General features: G+C 38.9%; 1 protein-coding gene and 1 long non-coding RNA gene across 8 annotated transcripts in view; one reads left to right on the forward strand and one right to left on the reverse strand.

The window, feature by feature from the left end:
- HTR4 (5-hydroxytryptamine receptor 4) overlaps positions 1-21,763 on the reverse strand; it is a 203,496-nt gene that overhangs the window by 34,691 nt on the left and 147,042 nt on the right. The window contains exon 7 of one of the 7 annotated variants that reach the window (NR_104445.2): positions 4,878-5,124. The exons of the other annotated variants lie outside the window; for them this stretch is intronic. The gene's annotated coding sequence lies outside the window, so the exon portion shown is untranslated. The remainder of the gene's footprint in view (positions 1-4,877; positions 5,125-21,763) is intronic. 7 annotated transcript variants of the gene reach the window in all.
- Positions 1-21,763, forward strand: part of LOC107986462 (uncharacterized) — a 107,158-nt gene that overhangs the window by 32,893 nt on the left and 52,502 nt on the right. The gene's annotated exons all lie outside the window — the stretch shown is intronic.

The following is a 21,763-nucleotide window of genomic DNA, read 5'->3' on the forward strand; positions in this document are numbered from 1 at the left end:
GAAAGTCCGGAAGACAAAGAGAGGGGCCACATGAATAAACATAATAAAGAATGAGGGGTGAGGATAAAAGACAAGGCGAAAAGATCAGAGCTAAAGAAAGCCATGTGGTTGGGCATGTGGAAGGCTCCAGAGCAATTGGAGAGAGGAAGAGGTTCTTTGAGAAATGTTTCCGAAGGGCTACATTGGCTCTCTCTTTCTCTCCCTCTCTATCTATCTTTGACATTGGCAAACTCAGCTTCAATATATTGGCTCTCTTGTACAATTCTTTTAGAGATTTAAATAAAGATTGAAAATACTCTAGTATTGCTATTTGATGTCTAATGCCAGGTTACATCAATATAGCTCTGGCCATGGAGAAAGGACAATGGCCCAGCATCTAACTCCATGAAGGACTCACAACGTCTCTCTCTCAGCAGGACGAATGGGAATGTGAGAATAATGACAGAGTGATCTTATGGTCAGTTGGCTCATAGCCGCAGTTCTCATTGTTATATTTACATAATTGTTCACAGTTAGCAGTTTAGTGTCATCTGCCTTTTAGGCCTTCATGCATGATAAAAAAAAATGTGGTACATTATACTGCACCATAAGAGACCTCCTTCCTGTGCAATAAGATCATCCTCAGTGCACATGGCTTTAACACTCAGGAAGCCCCTTTCACTCCCAGCTAGAAGGTCACCTTACTAATTCAGAGAAGAAAGCAGCAGAGTGTAGCAACCAGAAGACAGGGACCTGGGTTCTAATGCCTTTGGAGCCTCCAGTTGAGTGACTGGATGACTTTGTCCCTTTCCTGTGCCTCACTTTTCCCATTTGTTAAATGAAGGGGAGGATAATCTGTAAGATCATTTGCAGCTCTGACATTCTGATTCTATGAGTAGCAGGGATGGTGGGTGACAGAGACAGGCCTTCTGATTGGGCACCAGCTGTGTGTGGGACTGTTCTCCAAAGCTGTGGGTAATTGCTTCAAATCTGGCTTTTAATATTCTATTGTTAGTATCTGATACTTTATATTCCATGTGGAGGGAAGAGGTTTCGCTGGAAACACAGGGAGGGTAATTTTGGATTTGTATTAAAGAATCTGAAAGACCTCAATTTCGGAATCTGTGAAATTACATTGCAAAGCTGTTAAACGTATTTGGGTAGGATAGGATAGGGTGGGGCTGAGATGCCACAACTTAAAATGCAGCGAGATCACAACTGTCTCTCCTCAAACATATGTTTGATCAAAAACATTGGCAGAGCCACTCAAAATCCCTGATGCAAAACATCATTTAAAAAGAATCTTTCTCCAATATTTTAACGGATGAGTTTTTAAAATGCAGTTTCTTGTTGTAATCATTTTGGTAAAATCCCTGACAATTTACAAAGCATTGTCATATCTTTTTTTCACATTTAATCTTCAATGCAAATCTGTAAGGCAAGAAGGTACAGAGTCTTGTTTCCATGTTAGAGGAAGAGGAAAGTGTAATGTAGAGGCATGGATTGATCGATGGGTAATGGTGGATCTAGTGCTATAACTTGGGTATTCTGCCCTCCAAATCAAGAATTCTGCCCATTTGGAAACATGGAAATCATTTATGTGGTGGGAAGTTTTATAACAAAGTTATTAGCAGTTAATGAAACAGACTTACAATTACTTGTTCTGTGGAAGAAAGAATAGGAGGAGGAAGAAGGAGAAGAGGAGGAAGAAGAAAAGGAGGAGGAGGAGGAGGAGGAGAATCACTTGCTAAGTCATCTTTCTCAAAGGTCCAGAGGCTATGTGCATGAGAACTATATTGGGTACTTTTATAAAATACAGATTCCCAGGATCCATACCAGACCTTTGACAGCGAGGGTAGGAGGGCAGGAGTGAGCCAGAGAGAGCAGCAATCTGCATTTTAAAAAACTGCTCTCAGCTGATTCTTACGCACACAGGTGTATGAGATTTCCCTCCAGCCATTCTATTCATACCAGAGAGCGAGCTTAGAGATAGAGACAGTAGAGAGAGCGAGCTTAGAGATAGAGACAGTAGAGAGAGCGAGCTTAGAGATAGAGACAGTAGAGAGAGCGAGCTTAGAGATAGGCAGTAGAGAGAAATCACAGGCAGGTCAGAGGGGCCAGAGATAGAAGTCCCTGCTCCCAAAGGGAAAGGAATGGAAACAATAAAATAAAACATACATTTCAGCAAAGTGGACAAGGAAGTATTTATTGGTTGTCATCACATTGAAGATAAACAGATGAGAAAAGACTTGGTGATTATGAAAATGAGAAAGCAAAAAATGTAAAGAGATGCACAGAGCAATGTTTTTTTAGGTGCTTTTCATGTGATGAGAAATAGAATTCTTGGGTATTGTTAGCTGATAAAAACCGAGTTGTCTATAAACCGTGAGGCACATAGATTTGTAATAAGTTATCAGCAAGTTTGCTTATTAAAAGTCCATTTCTTAAATTGTCTGTAGATACACTATCAACCAGAATTCTACTAAGGCTAGAAGATCAAGTGTTTCCCAAACATAGGATGTGTTCTGTGAGTGACATCTCAGAGAATGGGCACAGCATTAAATAATCTGAATGACAGCAAGGGGATTCAAATTATTCATTCAGTCATTCTGACTCAGTGTGGTCCTGCTCTGGTTTAACAAGTCTCTAATACCTAACAAACACAGTGCAGGCGTCAGGCTCAAAGCCTTTGGCAAAAAAACAGGATAAAGCTAAATTTTAATAACTTTGTTTTACTTTCATTGCATTTGTATTAAAAATCATCTTCTCTATATAGTTTTGCATTTAAGGTCACAATACAGAGTTTCCTTTACAAATATGTTTATTTAGATTTAAAACGTATTTAAAGAAAAATAGTAAATAAATAATAGCATGGCATGGGTAGAGTGGTGATATGATAAAAAAAAATCATGAAAGTAGCATGCAAGTTACAAAAGCCCCTATCAGACAGATGAGAAAACTAAATTGCAGAAAGCATAGTGTCTTGGCAAGGACATAAAGCAATGCATCTGCAGGGCATGACATCTAGGATCTTTCTTTCTACTGTCTTTTGAAGCTTGCAGAAAGCTGAGCTTTCATAGTTTGGGATGTTAACATTGTGGCCTCTGGACAAAATGTATTCCCAAGGGCCCTTTAATCTCATCACCAGTCTCAGATATGTCCATGTTTCAATACACCAAAGTGCGAGATCAAATCAGGTGTGGCTGATTCTAATCCCTATGTACTTCTTTCCCTATTTCCCAATATGTGCATAGAACTAAGAGGTCAAATCAATATCCTTTCATGACTTTTTTCCATTGTTTACCACAGTTCCTAAATGGCAAATAAAAGGATTGAAACTCTGAATCTTTGGGAGTCAGACTATCTACCTGCTTTTTCTATAGTATTCCAATATAAAAGGACCTAAAATATCTAGGAGAAAATACCTTAAAAGTACGTTTTAAACACAGCCAATATTTACTGAATGTTTATTATGTGTCAACTACTGTGCTAAGAAATTCATGGATTATTTCATATAAACTTCACAATAATCCTATCACATGGGTTTTATTATTTGCAGGCTCTGGCTGAGTGGAATGAATCCTAGTAACTTTCCCCAGGTAGAGTATCTAGAGAGTGGTGGGGTCAGGATCTGAACTCAGAGCCTGATTGAAACAACATCACTAAATTTGCACCTTCATGGAACAGGCATTCTCAACCCCTAAACAGTGCTCTTGAGAAGCTGCCCATAGGAGTGACAGTGAGTCAGGTACATAAAGAATACTTAAGATACTGAGGGATAAGCTGAGCTTCCTAAAGAAGGGCAAGTGGGTGGTAAGATAGCCCAGAGACTGAGGAGAAAGTGGGGCAGGAAAGTTTAGAGAACTCCTATTGGAACTGTGCCTAGAAGAATGAGTAGTCTTGTGCCAGGCTGGAAAGTGAGACAGCATTCAAGGCAGCAGAGATGATCCAGAGACAATATAATTCGCTATTTGTTTGGGAAAAGCTGACCAATCTTGTATGTTTATTGCACGAAGAGTTAGGTCAGGGGAGCTGGGCTGCAGCGGGGAGAGTTGAGGGAAATGAGCTGGAACACCAGATTGGATCAGGCCAAGAAGGGTTTCATATACCCTTCCCTCTCTGCCCACTGCAAGTCCTACTGTACTGCTCAAGGTTATCCTATTACAACCCAATCCAGCTGGCATTTGCAGTTTAAAATCCCACATGTCTGAATGGCCTTTCCATCTTCCTGAGTGATAAACACGAAGCAGCTTCTCCCTTTATGGCTATATTATATACATAGTCCCAAAAGAAAACCAGAGGCAGAGAAAATAATTTATAATTTGCAACTCTGTCAAGGAAAGAGCATCCTAAAATCACCAAAATGTGTGAATAGCCTTTCAGTTCAATTCTAGAACTCACCCTTTTGGAAAGTCATGCAAATGTATATATACATATACATGTATATATATAATATATAATATACATATACATATATATGTATGTGTGTGTGTATATATATACATATATATATGTATATATATCCTGATCAGTAAATATATCCAATATTTTTTCCAAATGCAATCTCAGGCATCAAATTAGCTGTTTACCACTAAGCATCTATGGAGATATTTCTCCTTTGGAAATGTCTACATTTTCTACCAACCCCAGATTGCCAAAGATTCAGTAAAGGAAAGCAGAATGGCCCCCTAAAATTGACAGTATCATTTCTGACATATGTCTTCTCATTAGTAATATTTCCAGAAATTCTCCAGCTTCAACCAAACAAAATGTTACACTGGCTGAAATAGAGTTTGCTGTCCCCTACACTTAACTGCACTGTGGGACGATGCTTATGATTTTGTAACTCACAGAATCACAAAAAAAGGGGCTGAGAACGTGTTATTCAATCTACTCACCTCTTCCCCAGAAATGTTGACTAATGAACATTCAGTTCTTCCAGTTACTGATATTCGGTCAATCAACACTTTTAATTGACTGATGGTCATCCAATTGTCTCCTTCAACTTTACTAGGAACTCCCTAGTAAGGCAATCCATTCCATTTTGTGCTGAAATACATGTTCTTATAACCTCAATCCTTTGTTTCTTACCTCTCTCCCTCACATTATGCAGAAGAAGTCGAATTCCTGTTTCCTCTAACAGCCCTTTAAATATATAAAAACAATAATTATGACCTAAAACCTCTTTGCTCTAAGCTCAGCATCCCCAGTTCCTTCTACTGTTATTTATATGTCATAAATTCTGTAGAGAAAATCATGGCATTTACCCTCTTCTGAACATACTCCGGCTTGTCAATTCCCGGTATAAGATGAAGCTTTTATCATTTCCATGGACCAGGTACCTGCACATTGCACCATGGACTAAACACACATTTACATGGGAATATGGTTTTCCAATGGGTATCTCAGTGTGCTTTGGAGGAGATTTCTTCCTGAACAGCTGCTCTGACTAAATTGGAAGGTCTGTGTCCTCGCCAAGTACATGCTGTAAGAGAACAAGCTCCTAGAGCCTGCCTAGTGGAAAGGGCTTATCTGCAAGGTTACTGCCGGTACTCTAACCACAGAAGTTCAGGACCCTTCCTCCTAGAAACCGTATCAGTCGCCTTCTACGGCGCTATATATTTTTTTTTTTTTGGTCTTGCCTTAAGAATGTATGAGGATTAAAAGGAGCCAAATGGTGCAGGGGCTGAACCTCCTGGTACTGTTGAAAGACCTCTCCTGCTGTCCTTGGCAGTGGCAAGGAAGTTCTCTGTTGTAAAGCTCAGAGGACTAGTTTGAAGCAGGGTTTCTTAACCTCGGCACTATCTGGAAATCTGGGGCCAGGAAATTCTTTGCTCTGGGGTGTTCCATGCATTGTCGGATGATTAGCAGCGTCCCTGGCCTCCACCCACTATATACCAATAGTATTCCCACGTTGTGACAACCAAAAATGCCACCAGATATTGCCAAATGTTCTCTGGTAAACAAGATCATTCCTGATAAAGAACTACTGGTTTAAACCCACACAATCTCAGTGATCTAAGACATGCAGCTAGATCTAAACTTAAAGCATTATCTAATTCAACTTCCTCATTTTATTGGTGTTGGGAGAGGTAATGACTTCCTGATGATCACTAAGGGATTAGAAGACAGGCCTCCTGCTCTTTCCAGGACACCAGCGGTTGTTAACCCTGCTGCGCACTCAAGCTCCTAAAATAAATGGATTTCTGCTTCCCAACCAGACCCAATTAAAATGGAATCTCTACAAGCAGAGCTCAGGCTCAGGTATTGCTTAAGAGGCCCCAGGTGGCTGTAATGTGCAGCCAGGGTTGAAGGCCAGGGCACCACATCACACTGCCTCTATCTTTGACCTCAAATAAACCACGTTGGGCATTTCTGGAGCTGAGTGTTGTTTGGGGGCTTGCCCTGCAGGGTGGCATGCATAATCCCTTTTTACTGCGAGCGCTGATCTCTGAGGGCTGGTACACAGAACCTCGACACCCTGACAGTGGGTGCACCTACGGAGCAAAAGGGGGAAAACAAACACACACGGAATGTGCTCAACTTGTTTGACATGGCTAGTATATTTTATGTTGGGTCAAAGAAATGCCTACAGGTAATTTAAAATCCAGAAGGCATATTCAAAATAACAGCCCCAACTGTTCAGCACAGGGTATGATGTACCCAGGAAACAAGTCTTGTCTCATGTTGCTTAAACAATTGTTTATAAACAGTGTGATTAATTTATTTCTGGCTTTTCTTCTAGTAGAGGAGCCCTGCATCCCTTGTTTCAGGAGAAGTGTTTAGAACATGGAGATTTCTATTGACTCATTTCTTAAGAAATTCTTATCAGGAAGCTGAGAAAATAACTGGAGACCTGGAGGAAGATGTTTTACCAAGATATGAATGATGCTATGCAAATACTTATGATAACAATGTAGCAGTTTCCATTGATTGAGTGCTTTCTGTGTAATAGGAACTGGCATATCCCTGAACGGATGTTATCAATTTAACCTTAACAAAAGCCCCATGAAATGGGTTCTAATATTATGTCCATTTTACAGATGAAGAAAAAAGCTTGGAGATGTTTGGTCAAACACTTAAGGTCATATTGACACTAAATGGTAGATCTCAGACAGGACTGAAACCCAGGTGGGCCAGATTCCAGCACCTGCAGCCATGGCACTGTGCTGGGTGGGATGGCCCTTTGATTACATACCAGTGGTCGCCTTCCACCAAGCCAGAAGCTGGAACTTTTCCTGAACAGTAAGTCTCAATGGAAGGGATAATGTTTCAGCCTCAACACATTAGCCTAGAAGTGGGCATCCTGGAAAGAAGCTTAGGCCACCCGATTAACACATTTCTGAAAAGCAGGTACATTTTGCAAAAAGCACTAACTTTTCTAATCCTGAGTATTTGATGAGACCATTGGTGTTCTTTTAAAGTTTTTATTCTTGCTATTTTCCTGGTGTGATCTCAACAAGAACAGTGTTTTCTGAAAGATTACTTCACGTTGTGATGGGGACCAAGGCCGGCTTTGTGGGTATGTGACCAGTGCATATACAGGAATCCAGACCTAGGTTTAATGCTCTGCTGTTGCCATCTTGAAATTCTTAATAACTTTATTCTTGAATTTGTGAATATTAGTAGAATGTGTATGTATCAAAAAGTGAAATAAAAGCAGTTGAGTTAGTTTTCTGCACTACTCTGGTAAAAACAAAATACTTAAGTGTGTATGAACTACCTACCATGATCTGTATAATTTTGATAATTCCACATACAAGTTAAATGCTCTTTTATTTACATTCGAAGTTGGCATTGCACAATGTAAAAGTGAATGATAAATTGATTCATGTATCAACGATAAATGAATGATAAATTTATTCATGTATCAATGATGAATGATAAATTGGTGCTAATAATTTTAAAAATTTCTTAACTAAAACAAAGGTAATTAGCAAGTAAAAAAACACCAAGACAAGTTGGGAGGGAGTGAATGAAAAAAAAAGAAAGGCTTTAAATTTTAATACCTTTAAGAACACTTTTTCCTGCCATTCGAACAAGTTGCTTGTATTTTTATTTTGCATTTGGCCAGCAAATTATGTAGTCTGCCCTGGTAGGGGTTAATGGAGACAAAGGAAGGTCATCCTCATTCATCTTTGATTTACCCAGATTAAGTCTGTTTTGGCTCAAAACAATGAGGTAAACGTTGAATACAATTGTAACCTCTAAAGTTCAAGGTAAAGGCCATAAGATGGCTTTTAAATGTCAAACAACTTTCCGACATTAGCAGAAACCTCTGAGGATCCAAAGTAAGTCAACTCTAAATCATTTCCTCATCCATGGGTAAAAATCTTCCAATTCACAGTGTGAAAACCTTTATTTAAAAGGGGAATTCTGATGTGCTGAAGTCAAAATTTAACAAGTGGTTTCACTGTGAACAAACAACTGTTTCAGCTGTGGAATTAATACATATTTTTTAAAGTGGTGGAAGCTTATTCTGGCATGCACAGTCCAGATGAACAGTGAAGTATAAGAACATGTGTTTATTTAACAAATATATTAATTGAGCAATTTCTGCACCATGGGGAAATTTTAGGGAATAAAATTGACATGGTACCTGCCCTCATAGACTGGCAGTCTGGCTGGACAGACAGATAATAAACAAGTTAACAACAACAAAAAATATATGGTAAGTTATCATAGTTGTTATTTATAAAGGAAATAACAAGGGGCTGTAACCCGGATTATTTTTTCTTCTGCTGTGTTTTGCCTCTCACTCATTCTCTTTGCCTCTTACTCATTTTCACTTTTTTTCTATGTTTACATTTTCTCCGCTATTGATTTCATATAGAAATCTGAATACACTAATGTCGTACATGGAAATGTTAAAGATTTGTATAGCACATCCAATAGAATTGGTTGATTAGTTTTTGAGCGTTGCTGATAACAAGAGTTAGTGAGTCTGAGAGAAAGTTGTATTGCCTCCTTCCAGAGAGAAGGCACATATAGCTCTGGAGATGCTTGGTCAAACAAACTTTTTACAATCATGAGAATTTTCTACATTTATATCTAAGCCAAGAGCCACTCACCACATGTGGCTAATGAACACTTGGAATATAACTAGTGTGATTAAAAAACTGAGTTTTTAGTTGTGTTTCATTTTGGTTAAATTAAAATTTAAATAGTCATGTGTGGCTAGTGGTTACCCTATTGGACAACACAGATCTAGAGATCTCAAGTCAATGGACAGCCTGTTTATCACAGGGATTAACAGTGGATGATGGAGGATGATAGCCAAGAACCAAGTTAGATAGGCAATAAGTTCTTTGGAAAGTGCTTGCAAAAGTTCTCAGACTTCTCAGGAATTGGGTAAGTGTCCTAGGTTTGAGTAAGATCTGAACCTGGAAACTGGGGAAGAATCTAAGCCTGGTGAGAGAGCAGGGAAACCCATCTCCAAAGCTAAAGTTTGCATACAATCTCTGCTGTGTTGCCTAATTTATAAATAGTCTGTTCTTAAAATTATCACTCTCATGTGGACAGAGCTTTGCAGTTAGCAAAGCAAATTCACATCAATTATTTTGTTATTTTGACAATGAAGGAGTGAAATAGGAGGATGGGGATTATCTACCAAAGAAGTCAAAACTGGAATCTTTAGCAGATTTTGTACAGGGAAATTCTCTGCTCTAAGGTTACAGTCAGCACCGCTAGTCCCTTTTCTGCCCTCAGTTATCTGAACTAATAATCATGGAGACAGTTAAACAGAAGAGAGGGTAAGCCAGTAGACTAGAGACAGAGCATTTTTTCATCCTCTTGTCAAGTCCTACAATGTTCCAGGCACTTTACTAGGCTCTGAGGATACAACAGGCTGCAAGACTGGCAAGGTCCTTGGTATTTGTCCAATGGACAAAGAACCCCATTAGCAAGTCCCCAAAGAACCTCAAATCAAATTAATATGACTTGTTCCTACCACCTGCCACCTTGTTGTGGTCACAAGACTATGTAGTCATACCATGTCTTCCAAGTGGGGAGAGAGGCTTAAAGCATGACTGAACTGAAGCAGGCTTCCAAAAGGAATTTTCTGATAATTATATTTTACCAGTTAAGTTAGATAAAGTTATTATCTTTTAAGAGATTCTGGCCTGGGTGCGGTGGCTCAAGCCTGTAATCCCAGCACCTTGGGAGGCTGAGGCGGGTGAATCACGAGGTCAGGAGTTCGAGACCAGGCTGGCCAACATGGGGAAACCCTGTCTCTATTAAAAATACAAAAAATTAGCCGGGTTTGGTGGCTGGCGCCTGTAACCAGCTACTTGGGAGGCTGAGGCAAGGGAATCGCTTGAACTCAGGAGGCGGAGGTTGCAGTAAGCCGAAATCGCGCCACTGCACTCCAGCCTGGGTGACAGTGTGAGACTCCGCCTCAAAAAAAATTTTATAAGAACCTAATAATTCTAATATGTGTCATAACTTGAAGCCCTGAATCACAATCAATGCTAGCACACCTTGGACAATTCTGATCCACAAAAGTCTAGGACCATGGCTCTAAACCGTTAATATGCATAACAGTCATGTTAGTAAAAATGTCATTTACAAGCCCTGCACTGATTCAATGAGTGGGACCCAGGAATCTGTGTTTTTACTAAGCTGCCAGATGATTCTAATGTGAGTGATCTGCAGATCATGCTTTGATGGAAAAACGATCAAGAAAAATAAAAATAAAAGTTGCAAATAAGGGAATATATTTGCACTCCCCAAATTTCCAACAATAATATATACACAGAGAGCGCTAAAAGAAATTGGGATATTTATTAAGAAAAACAAAAGCCTCAGAAAGAACCTATGGCCAAATATGCCTAAAGTGCTGTCCTAACGTAAAAGATGTAACCTGTTTTTCTCTTTCTCAAGGCAGAACGAGGGTTAGTGAGTAGAAGCCACAGGGATGGAAACGTCAACTCAATATCAGGAAAACCTTTCAAGCTCTAGAGCTGCCCAAACTTTGAGCAGACTGCTCAGATGGGAAGCTTCTCTCATTGCAGGAGTTCAAGCAGAGATGGGATGCCCATCACCAGTGATGACAAGGAAACTGTTGATTTGTTAGCAATTCCCTCAGCTCCTGATAAACCTTGTGTACACCTGCAGTGATGTTCACCGTACTGTAATATCTTGCTAGTGTATCCCTTGCTTCAGTGGTTCATGTTTATATCTGCTGCATGCTGCCTTCTGCATTAAATGCTCAATACATAGTTCCCGTGAATCAAACTTCAGAACCTAATAAATTGAGTTCCAGAATCTGCAAACCTGGAGTTCTGATGGGCTTCCTATAACCTCAAAAGGAAAATCTGGGTTTTACAGCCACCTCTTCTACTATCCACAATGAACCTTTAGCAATTTATCTGCTCTTCTTCAGTAAAGTTTTAAAGTTTCCTTCAATAAAGGTCTTATACTTTTCAAAAAAAACCATTTTTTTTAAGGAACTTTAGTTATTGCTTCTGTGGATGGTGTTTTATTTTTATTTTTATTTTTATTTTGAGACAGGGTCTGGCTCTGTCACCCAAGCTGGAGTGGAGTGCAGTGGCACAGTAGTATTTTTCTTAATTCACATACTAATTGGTTTTTTCTCATGTGTAGGAAAGTCACTGAGGATTGAGTGTTATCTCATATCGTCCATCCTTATGAAATATCTTATTACTTTTCACAGTTTACAGTGGATTTTCCTGGAAGATGATTATAATAGATCATACAGATGGTTAATAAATAATGGAAGCTTTGCTCTCTTTTTCCAGTTTTTTTATATTTCTTCTTTCTGTTCTTTGGATTTTGTATGTACAATGTTGACCACAAGAGATGATAAGACATCATTGTCTTATTCCTCACTTTAGTGGGAATGCAGCTAATGTTTTATCATTAGGTTATTTCTTTTCTTCTCTGCCACTATGTGCACTATGGGTTTCCTAGAGTGGGAAAAGTGATTTCTATAAAACCAAGACAGATATTGGTGGGTGGGGAAAACACAGCTGCAGAACAAGATTAAGGATGAGACAAGGACAAAGAGGCTGGCTCCAAATTCACTGAGAATCTGAGTTTGCACATTTGATGAACCTCTTAGAATTCCACACACTGGCATTATGCCTCTTTCTAATACATGCATGCAGACAAATTAAAATTGCCCTCAAAATATTTATATGAAAATAATTCATGTTTAGAAGCTATATTTAGAAGACTATGTAACCTATATGTCTAGACAAATGGTGTCATCATTCAACCAAATGCTGTCTTCACTTCTATTTTGATCACGGGTTGCATATTTCCAAAGACACTTCTTGTCCAACAGAAAATAGTCAAACACAATTGCAGACATCTCTGCTACTGTGTACACTAGTTAGTACAATTTTAGCAATCAAAACCCTCTAAGAATGTCTTTCAAAAGCATATTTTATTTCATTGGCTACCCATTTGCTTATTTAATAATAAAATTTCATGTAAGTAAAAGGGCCATAAGGATAGGACCAAGCTTGGGAGACCTATGATTCTAAACCATTGAGGCCAGGCTTGGCTGTTTCTAATTCAACTTGGAAAAGTAAAATTCCATTTTGTCAAAAAGACTTTAAAGGAAGGAGGCCCCACAATATCAGAGTGTTGTCATGAACTGGGTCTTCTCAATGTGAATCTTGTAGACTAAGTTCTCTATACCTTTTAGGATCTCAGGGAAGATTTAACAAACAAAACCTAATTTTCAATTTTGAGTATTTTAATCCTTCATAAATCTGAAGAGAATCAGGAACACCTTTCATCAGCAAAAATGATCAATCAATTGATCATCTACTGTTATACAGATACTATGTTAGAGACTATACAGTTCCTAGAGAAGAGGAAGCCATAGTTTCTCCCCTCAAGGAATACTTGATATAACAGGAATTAAATAAGGAATTGTATACTCTAAAGCAGTATGAATGTCATGAGAAATAGTGCTGTAAACAGGCCACTGCTATCCAGCAGAAATAGAGAACAAATGCCCAAGTTGAAGAAATGTGAAAAAGGTATGTTCTGAAAACCATAGGAAGAAGAGTTTGATCCCAATCCTGAGATGAACTTCTTTTAAATTGATTCTTTGTTTGAATAATCAACGGGTACCCAAAGATAGAAGTCAACAGGTGGTTAATAAGAATAGGTCCATCTGATCTAAACTTACTTCCTTTAAAAAAAATGAGTATGAAAATGCCTTCATTTGAAGAAGGAATGTTTTCCATGGTTTGTAGGCAAACTAGAGAAATATGAACAAAATGGTAGAGTTGATAGATTAAAAAATGACTCATCAACTTTATCCAAAAAGTCAAGGTGATCATGGAAAGTTGTAATCTTAACTCTGACTCTAAGTGGCTGGACAAGGCTGAGTTTTGAAGTCAGAAACAGTTGGGTCTGAATTCCAGCTTTGTTGTTTACTACTTGTGTGACTTTGGGCATGTTACTTACCCTAACACTCAATTTTCTCATCTTTAAAATGACAATGATCATAATACCTTACTTCTTTGAGTTATAAAAATTAGATGCAAATGATGGACTTAGGGCTCTCAAATATAGTAACAAACATTCTTTTCTGGAATAATGTTAGGTTTCATAATCATAATCATTATTATTAATAAAATGGAAGGAGGTCTCTAGTGACCTGTCCAGTACTTTTTAAATGTTTGCCTTGGGTGAGGAAAATGAAGGTATGCCTATAAAATTGTAAATTTTATACATGCAGCTAGAAATTTATCTTACATTTTTATGATTTATATTTTGCCCCCATGGTTGAATTTTACAGTTATTTTTATTTAGCTCCATCTCTTCAATACCAGCTGATTGGTTTCTTTTTAAATCCTTAAGCCTGCCCTCTAATATGTTAGTTCTCCCTCAGAGCCACAGAAAAAGTGTCTTGATTTAGTAACATGATACAAGATTATTCCATTTATGGAGATAGGGATGACTCAGAAAACTTGTGGTTGGAGGGTGAGATAGTTTGGATGTTCATCCCCTTCAAATCCCATGTTGAAGTGTAATCTCCAGAGTTGGAGGTTGGGCCTAGTGTGAGGTGTCTGGGTTATGGGGGTGGAGGCCACATGAATGGCTTGGTGCCCTCCTTGCAGTAACAAGCGAATTGTCACTCTACTAGTTATTGTGAGATCTGGTTGTTAAAAAGAGTCTAGCATCTCCCTCCTCTCTTTCTCTCTCTTGCTCCCCTTCTTGCCTTGAGACATGTATGAACCCCCCTTCATCTTCTGCCATGAGTAAAAGCTTCCTGAGGCCTCACCAGAAGCTGAGCCAATGCTGATGCCATGCTCGTACAGCCTGTAGAGCCATTAGACAAATAAACCTCTTTTCCTTGTAAATTACCCAGCCTCAAGTATTCATTTATAGCAACACAAAATGGGCCAATACAGGGGGTAAGTGTATAGAGCTAAGAATTCTGTTTTGGTTGCATCACATTTCATTTAAGATTTCCAAGAGACACCTATATGGGGTTGTCAAGGAAGCAAATTGGATCTTCTCTCTGGATCTCAGAGGAGTGTTATGCCCTGGAGATATTGATCAAAGAGTGAGGTGACAGCATGAAGACTGTATTTAAAGTTATAGATGGTGAATGTATAAAGTAAGAGCATAGTCTGAGAAGAGTATCAAGAGCCAAGTCCTGAAGAACTCCAACAGTTTGAGGCCAGAGAGAGGGGAAGAGCCTCTAAAAGAGACTGGGAAAAAGTTGCTGGTGAGTTAGCAAGAAAACCAGGAAAGTATGGTGTTAAGGAAAATTAAGGTAGGAAGTATTTTAAGAAGGAAGCTAGGCCAACTCTAAGAGGTCAAGTAAGGATACCTTTTCAAAATTTGAAACTTCTGTAAGTCAAAAGTTAACCAAAGTTAAAAAGCAAGCAGGAGATGGGGAGGTGTATTTGCCAATTCTATGACACCAGATGAATATACAGAATATAACAAAGAACACCCAGAAATTAATAAGAAAAATACAACAAAGTTGTCACAAAAAGGGCCAAACACATAAAGATGCACTTTATATAAGAATAAATATAAATAGTATATAACTAATTTAAAAGAGGTTCAATCTGACAAACCGCTAAGTAATGCAAATTAAATGATACAGCAATTACTTTTACACTAACCTAATATTTTTTAATTAAGAAAATATGAAAGATTGATAATATTCAATGTTGGTGAGGAGAACTCACACTCACAGATGAGAATGCAAATTGTTACAGTGTGTTAGGATGCCAATATTATAGTAAACATAAACATTTTAAATGAGCATACCTGTCAATACAGCAATTTCATTTTTGGTAGCTATCTGAAAGAAATACTAGCACATGCACCAAGAAATGTGTTCAAGGGCATTACAAACAGTACAGTTTGCAATGACAAATAATTGGAAATACTTACATGCCCACTAACAGCAAATAATTAAATAAATTTTAATATGTATTTTTAGTACAGAAGATTATGGAACAGCTGAAACAAGTGAGTTAGAGCTATATTTTCCCCAGTGAAAAGATCTTCAAAATGTATTGTTAAAGGATAAAAAAACAAGATGTAGAAAAGTACATATAAAATGATCCCATTTACATAGAGTGAGAAAAAGTTATATTTCTATGGTTTTTATGAATGTCTGTAAATACATTGAAATGATCAGCAGACTAATGTTAACTATTGCCTCTGGGAACAGGGGTAGGATTAGCAGGATAAAAGCTGATACTGATTTTCATTGTTTTGGTTTTATATTTCTTCAATTCATCTGAATTTGCTAATGATCTACTTGTGGGATTTTTAAGAAAAATGCAAAAATTGTCTTAGTTGTGTTAAGTTAAAACAATTGATCAGAAGAATTAATTTTAGAATTTGTTAATTCATCAAGAGTTTAAGTTCCTATTACATATCAGACAATATGTAGAGTATTTGGTATACGGCAGTGAATAAAATAGGCAGAATTCCTGTCCTTTGTAAGATTTAACCTCTAGCAGATGCAGGTTTCAACTATTCTGTATAGGCTACCCTTACTCTTATAAGATTCTCCACTCCCACAGTAAAACATCACAGACCAACTTCCTGCACTTTTCATGAACTCATGAAGAAACTTATGGAAGACTGTAATCCCAGCACTTTGGGAGGCTGAGGTGGGTGGATCACAGGGTCAGGAGATCGAGACCATCCTGGCTAACATGGTGAAACCCTGTCTCTACTAAAAATACAAAAAAATTAGCCAGGCATGGTGGCAGGTGCCTGTAGTCCCAGCTACTGGGGAGGATGAGGAAAGAGAATGGCGTGAACCTGGGAGGCAGAGCTTGCAGTGAGCCCAGATCACACCATTGCACTCCAGCCTGGGCGACAGAGCGAAACTCTGTCTCAAAAAGAAAAAAAAAAAAAAGACTGAACAAAAAGCAGCAGAAAACTCTGCAGACTTAAATGTCCCTGTCTGACAACTTTGAAGAGAGTAGTGGTTCTCCTAGCACAGAGTTTGAGATCTGAGAATGGACAGACTGCCTCCTCAAGTGGGTCCCTGACCCCCAAGTAGCCTAACTGGGAGGCACCTCCAAGTGGGGGCAGACTGATACCTCACACAGCCAGTTACCTCTCAGAGATGAAGCTTCCAGAGGAACGATCAGGCAGCAACATTTGCTGTTCAGCAATACTCGCTATTCTGCAGCCTCTGCTGCTGATACCCAGGCTAACAGGTTCTGGAGTGTTAACTCCAGCAAACTCCAACAGACCAGCATCTGAAGGTCCTGACTGTTAGAAGGAAAACTGAAAAACAGAAAGGACATCCACACCAAAACCCCATCTGTACGTCACTATGATCAAAGACAAAGGTAGATAAAACCACAAAGATGGGGAAAAAACAGAGCAGAAAAGCCGAAAGTTCTAAAAATCAGAGCACCTCTCCCCCTACAAAGGAGTGCAGCTCCTCACCAGAAATGGAACAAAACTGGATGGAGAATGACTTTGACAAGTTGAGAGAAGGCCTCAGATGATCAAACTTCTCTGAGCTAAAGGAGAAGTTTAAACCCATCGCAAAGAAGCTAAAAACCTTGCAGAAAGATTAGACCAATGGCTAACTAGAATAACCAGTGTGGAGTAGTCCTTAAATGACCTAATGGAGCTGAAAACCAAGGCACGAGAACTACGTGACAAATGCACAAGCCTCAGTAGCCGATTCGATCAACTGGAAGAAAGGGTATCAGTGATTGAAGATCAAATGAATGAAATGAAGTGAGAAGAGAAGTTTAGAGACAAAGAGTAAAAACAAACAAACAAAGCCTCCAAGGAATATGGGACTATGGGAAAAGACCAAATCTACGTCTGATTGGTGTACCTGAAAGTGACGGGGAGAATGGAACCAAGTTGGAAAACACTCTGCAGGATATTATCCAGGAGAACTTCCCCAACCTAGCAAGGCAGGCCAACATTTGAATTCAGGAAATACAGAGAATGCCACAAAGATACTCCTCGAGAAGAGCAACTCCAAGACACATAATTGTCAGATTCACCAAAGTTGAAATGAAGGAAAAAATGTTAAGGGCAGCCAGAGAGAAAGGTCAGGTTACCCACAAAGGGAAGCCCATCAGACTAACAATGGATCTCTCCGCAGAAACTCTACAAGCCAGAAGAGGGTGGGGGCCAATATTCAACATTCTTAGAGAAAAGAATTTTCAACCCAGAATTTCATATCCAGCCAAACTAAGCTTCATAAGTGAAGGAGAAATAAAATACTTTACAGACAAGCAAATGCTGAGAGATTTTGTCACCACCAGGCCAGCCCTAAAAGAGCTCCTTAAGGAAGCACTAAACATGGAAAGGAACAATCAGTACCAGCCACTGCAAAAACATGCCAAATTGTAAAGACTATCAAGGCTAGGAAGAAACTGCATCAACTAACGAGCAAAATAACCAGCTAACATCATAATGACAGGATCAAATTCACACATAACAATATTAACCTTAAATGTAAATCGGCTAAATGCGCCAATTAAAAGACACAGACTGGCAAATTGGATAAAGAGTCAAGACCCATCAGTGTGCGGTGTTCAGGAGACCCATCTCACATGCAGAGACACACATAGGCTCAAAATAAAGGGATGGAGGAAGATCTACCAAGCAACTGGAAAACAAAAAAAAGGCAGGGCTTGCAATCCTAGTCTCTGATAAAACAAACTTTAAACCAACAAAGATCAAAAGAGACAAAGAAGGCCATTAAATAATGGTAAAGGGATCAATTCAACAAGGAGAGCTAACTATCCTAAATAGATATGCACCCAATACAGGCGGACCCAGATTCAAAAAGCAAGTCCTTAGAGACCTACAAAGAGACTTAGATTCCCACACAATAATAATGGGAGACTTTAACACCCCACTGTCAACATTAGACAGATCAATGAGACAGAAAGTTAACAAGGATATCCAAGAATTAAACTCAGCTCTGCATCAAGCAGACCTAATAGACGTCTACAGAACTCTCCACCCCAAATCAACAGAATATACATTCGTCTCAGCACCACATCACACTTATTCCAAAATTGTCCACATAGTTGGAAGTAAAACACTCTTCAGCAAACGTAAAAGAAAGAAATTATAACAAACTGTCTCTCAGACCACAGTGCAATCAAACTAGAACTCAGGATTAAGAAACCCACTCAAAACTGCTCAACTGCATGGAAACAGAACAACCTGCTCCTGAATGACTACTGGGTACATAACGAAATGAAGGCAGAAATAAAGATATTCTTTGAAACCAGTGAGAACAAAGACATGACATACCAGAATCTCTGGGACACATTTAAAGCAGTGTGTAGAGGGAAATTTATAGCACTAAATGCCCACAAGAGAAAGCAGGAAAGATCTAAAATTGACACCCTAACATCACAATTAAAAGAACTAGAGCAGCAAGAGCAAACACATTCAAAAGCTAGCAGAAGGCAAGAAATAACTAAGATCAGAGCAGAACTGAAGGAAATAGAGACACAAAAAACCCTTCAAAAAATCAATGAATCCAGGAGCTGGTTTTTTGAAAAGATCAACAAAATTGATAGACCGCTAGCAAGACTAATAAAGAAGAAAAGAGAGAAGAATCAAATAGACGCAATAAAAAATGATTAAGGGGATATCACTACCGATCCCACAGAAATACAAACTACCATCAGAGAATACTATAAACACCTCTACGCAAATAAACTAGAAAACCTACAAGAAATGGATAAATTCCTGGACACATACACCCTCCCAAGACTAAACCAGGAAGAAGTTGAATCCCTGGATAGACCAATAACAGGTTCTGAAATTGAGGCAGTAATTAATAGCCTACCAACCAAAAAAATCCAGGATCAGATGGATTCACAGTCGAATTCTACCAGAGGTACAAGGAGGAGCTGGTACCATTCCAATATCCCTGATGAACACTGATGCAAAAATCCTCAATAAAATACTGGCAAACCAAATCCAGCAGCACATCAAAAAGCTTATCCACCATAATCAAGTGGGCTTCATCCCTGGGATGCAAGGCTGGTTCAACATATGCAAATCAATAAACGTAATCCAGCATATAAACAGAACCAAAGACAAAAACCACATGATTATCTCAATAGATGCAGAAAAGGCCTTTGACAAAATTCAACAGCCCTTCATGGTAAAAACTCTCAATAAGTTAGGTATTGATGGGACATATATCAAAATAATAAGAGCTATTTATGACAAACCCACAGCCAATATCACACTGAATGGGCAAAAACTGGAAGCATTCCCTTTGAAAACTGGCACAAGACAGGAATGCCCTCTCTCACCACTCCTATTCAACATAGTGTTGGAAGTTCTGGCCAGGGCAATCAGGCAGGAGAAAGAAATAAAGGGTATTCAATTAGGAAAAGAGGAAGTCAAATTGTCCCTGTTTGCAGATGACATGACTGTATATTTAGAAAACCCCATCGTCTCAGCCCAAAATCTCCTTAAGCTGATAGGCAACTTCAGCAAAGTCTCAGGATACAAAATCAATGTGCAAAAATCACAAGCATTCTTATACACCAATAACAGACAAACAGAGGGCCAAATCATGAGTGAACTCCCAATCACAATTGCTTCAAAGAGAATAAAATACCTAGGAATCCAACTCACAAGGGATGTGAAGGACCTCTTCAAGGAGAACTACAAACCACTGCTCAACGAAATAAAAGAGGACACAAACAAATGGAAGGACATTCCATGCTCATGGATAGGAAGAATCAATATCGCGAAAATGGCCATACTGCCCAAGGTAATTTATAAATTCAATGCCATCCCCATCAAGCTACCAATGACTTTCTCCAGAGAATTGGAAAAAACTACTTTAAAATTCATATGGAACCAAAAAAGAGCCCGCATTGCCAAGTCAACCCTAAGCCAAAAGAACAAAGCTGGAGGCATCATGCTACCTGACTTCAAACTATACTACAAGGCTACAGTCAGCAAAACAGCATGGTACTGGGACTAAAACAGAGATATAGACTAATGGAATACAACAGAGCCCTCAGAAATAATACCACACATCTACAACCATCTGATCTTTGACAAACCTGACAAAAACAAGAAATGCGGAAAGGATTCCCTATATAATAAATGGTGCTGGGAAAACTGGCTAGCCATAGGTAGAAAGCTGAAACTGGATCCCTTTCTTACACCTTATAAAAAATTAATTCAAGATGGATTAAAGACTTAAATGTCAGACCTAAAACCATAAAAACCCTAGAAGAAAACCTGGGCAATACCATTCGGGACATAGGAATGGGCAAGGACTACATGTCTAAAACACCAAAAACAACGGCAACAGAAGCTAAAATTGACAAATGGGATCTAATTAAACTAAAGAGCTTCTGCACAGCAAAAGAAACTACCATCAGAGTGAACAGGCAACCTACAGAATGGGAGAAAATTTTTGCAATCTACCCATCTGACAAAGGGCTAATATCCAGAATCTACAAAGAACTCAAACAAATTTACAAGAAAAAAACAAACAACCCCATCAACAAGTGGGTGAAGGATATGAACAGACACTTCTCAAAAGAAGACATTTATGCAGCAAACAGGCACATGAAAAAATGCTCATCATCACTGGCCGTCAGAGAAATGCAAATCAAAACCACAATGAGATACCATCTCACACCAGTTAGAATGGCAATCATTAAAAAGTCAGGAAACAACAGGTGCTGGAGAGGATGTGGAGAAATAGGAACACTTTTACACTGTTGGTGGGACTGTAAACTAGTTCAACTATTGTGGAAGACAGTGTGGCGATTCCTCAAGGATCTAGAACTAGAAATACCATTTGACCCAGCCATCCTGTTACTGGGTATATACCCAAAGGACTATAAATCATGCTGCTATAAAGACACATGCACACGTATGTTTATTGCGGCACTATTCACAATAGCAAACACTTGGAACCAACCCAAATGTCCATCAATGATAGACAGGATTAAGAAAATGTGGCACATATGCACCATGGAATACTATGCAGCCATAAAAAAGGATGAGTTCACGTCCTTTGTAGGGACATGGATGAAGCTGGAAACCATCATTCTCAGCAAACTATCGCAAGGAGAAAAAACCAAACGCCGCATATTCTCTCTCATAGGTGGGAATTGAACAATAAGAACATTTGGACACAGGAAGGGGAACATCACACTCTGGGGCCTGTCGTGGGGTGGGGGGAGGGGGGAGGGATAACATTAGGAGATATACCTAATGTAAATGACGAGTTAATGGGTGCAGCACACCAACATGGCACATGTATACATATGTAAGAAACCTG

This window comes from Homo sapiens, chromosome 5 (assembly GCF_000001405.40).
Source record: "Homo sapiens chromosome 5, GRCh38.p14 Primary Assembly".
Lineage (NCBI taxonomy): Eukaryota > Metazoa > Chordata > Mammalia > Primates > Hominidae > Homo > Homo sapiens.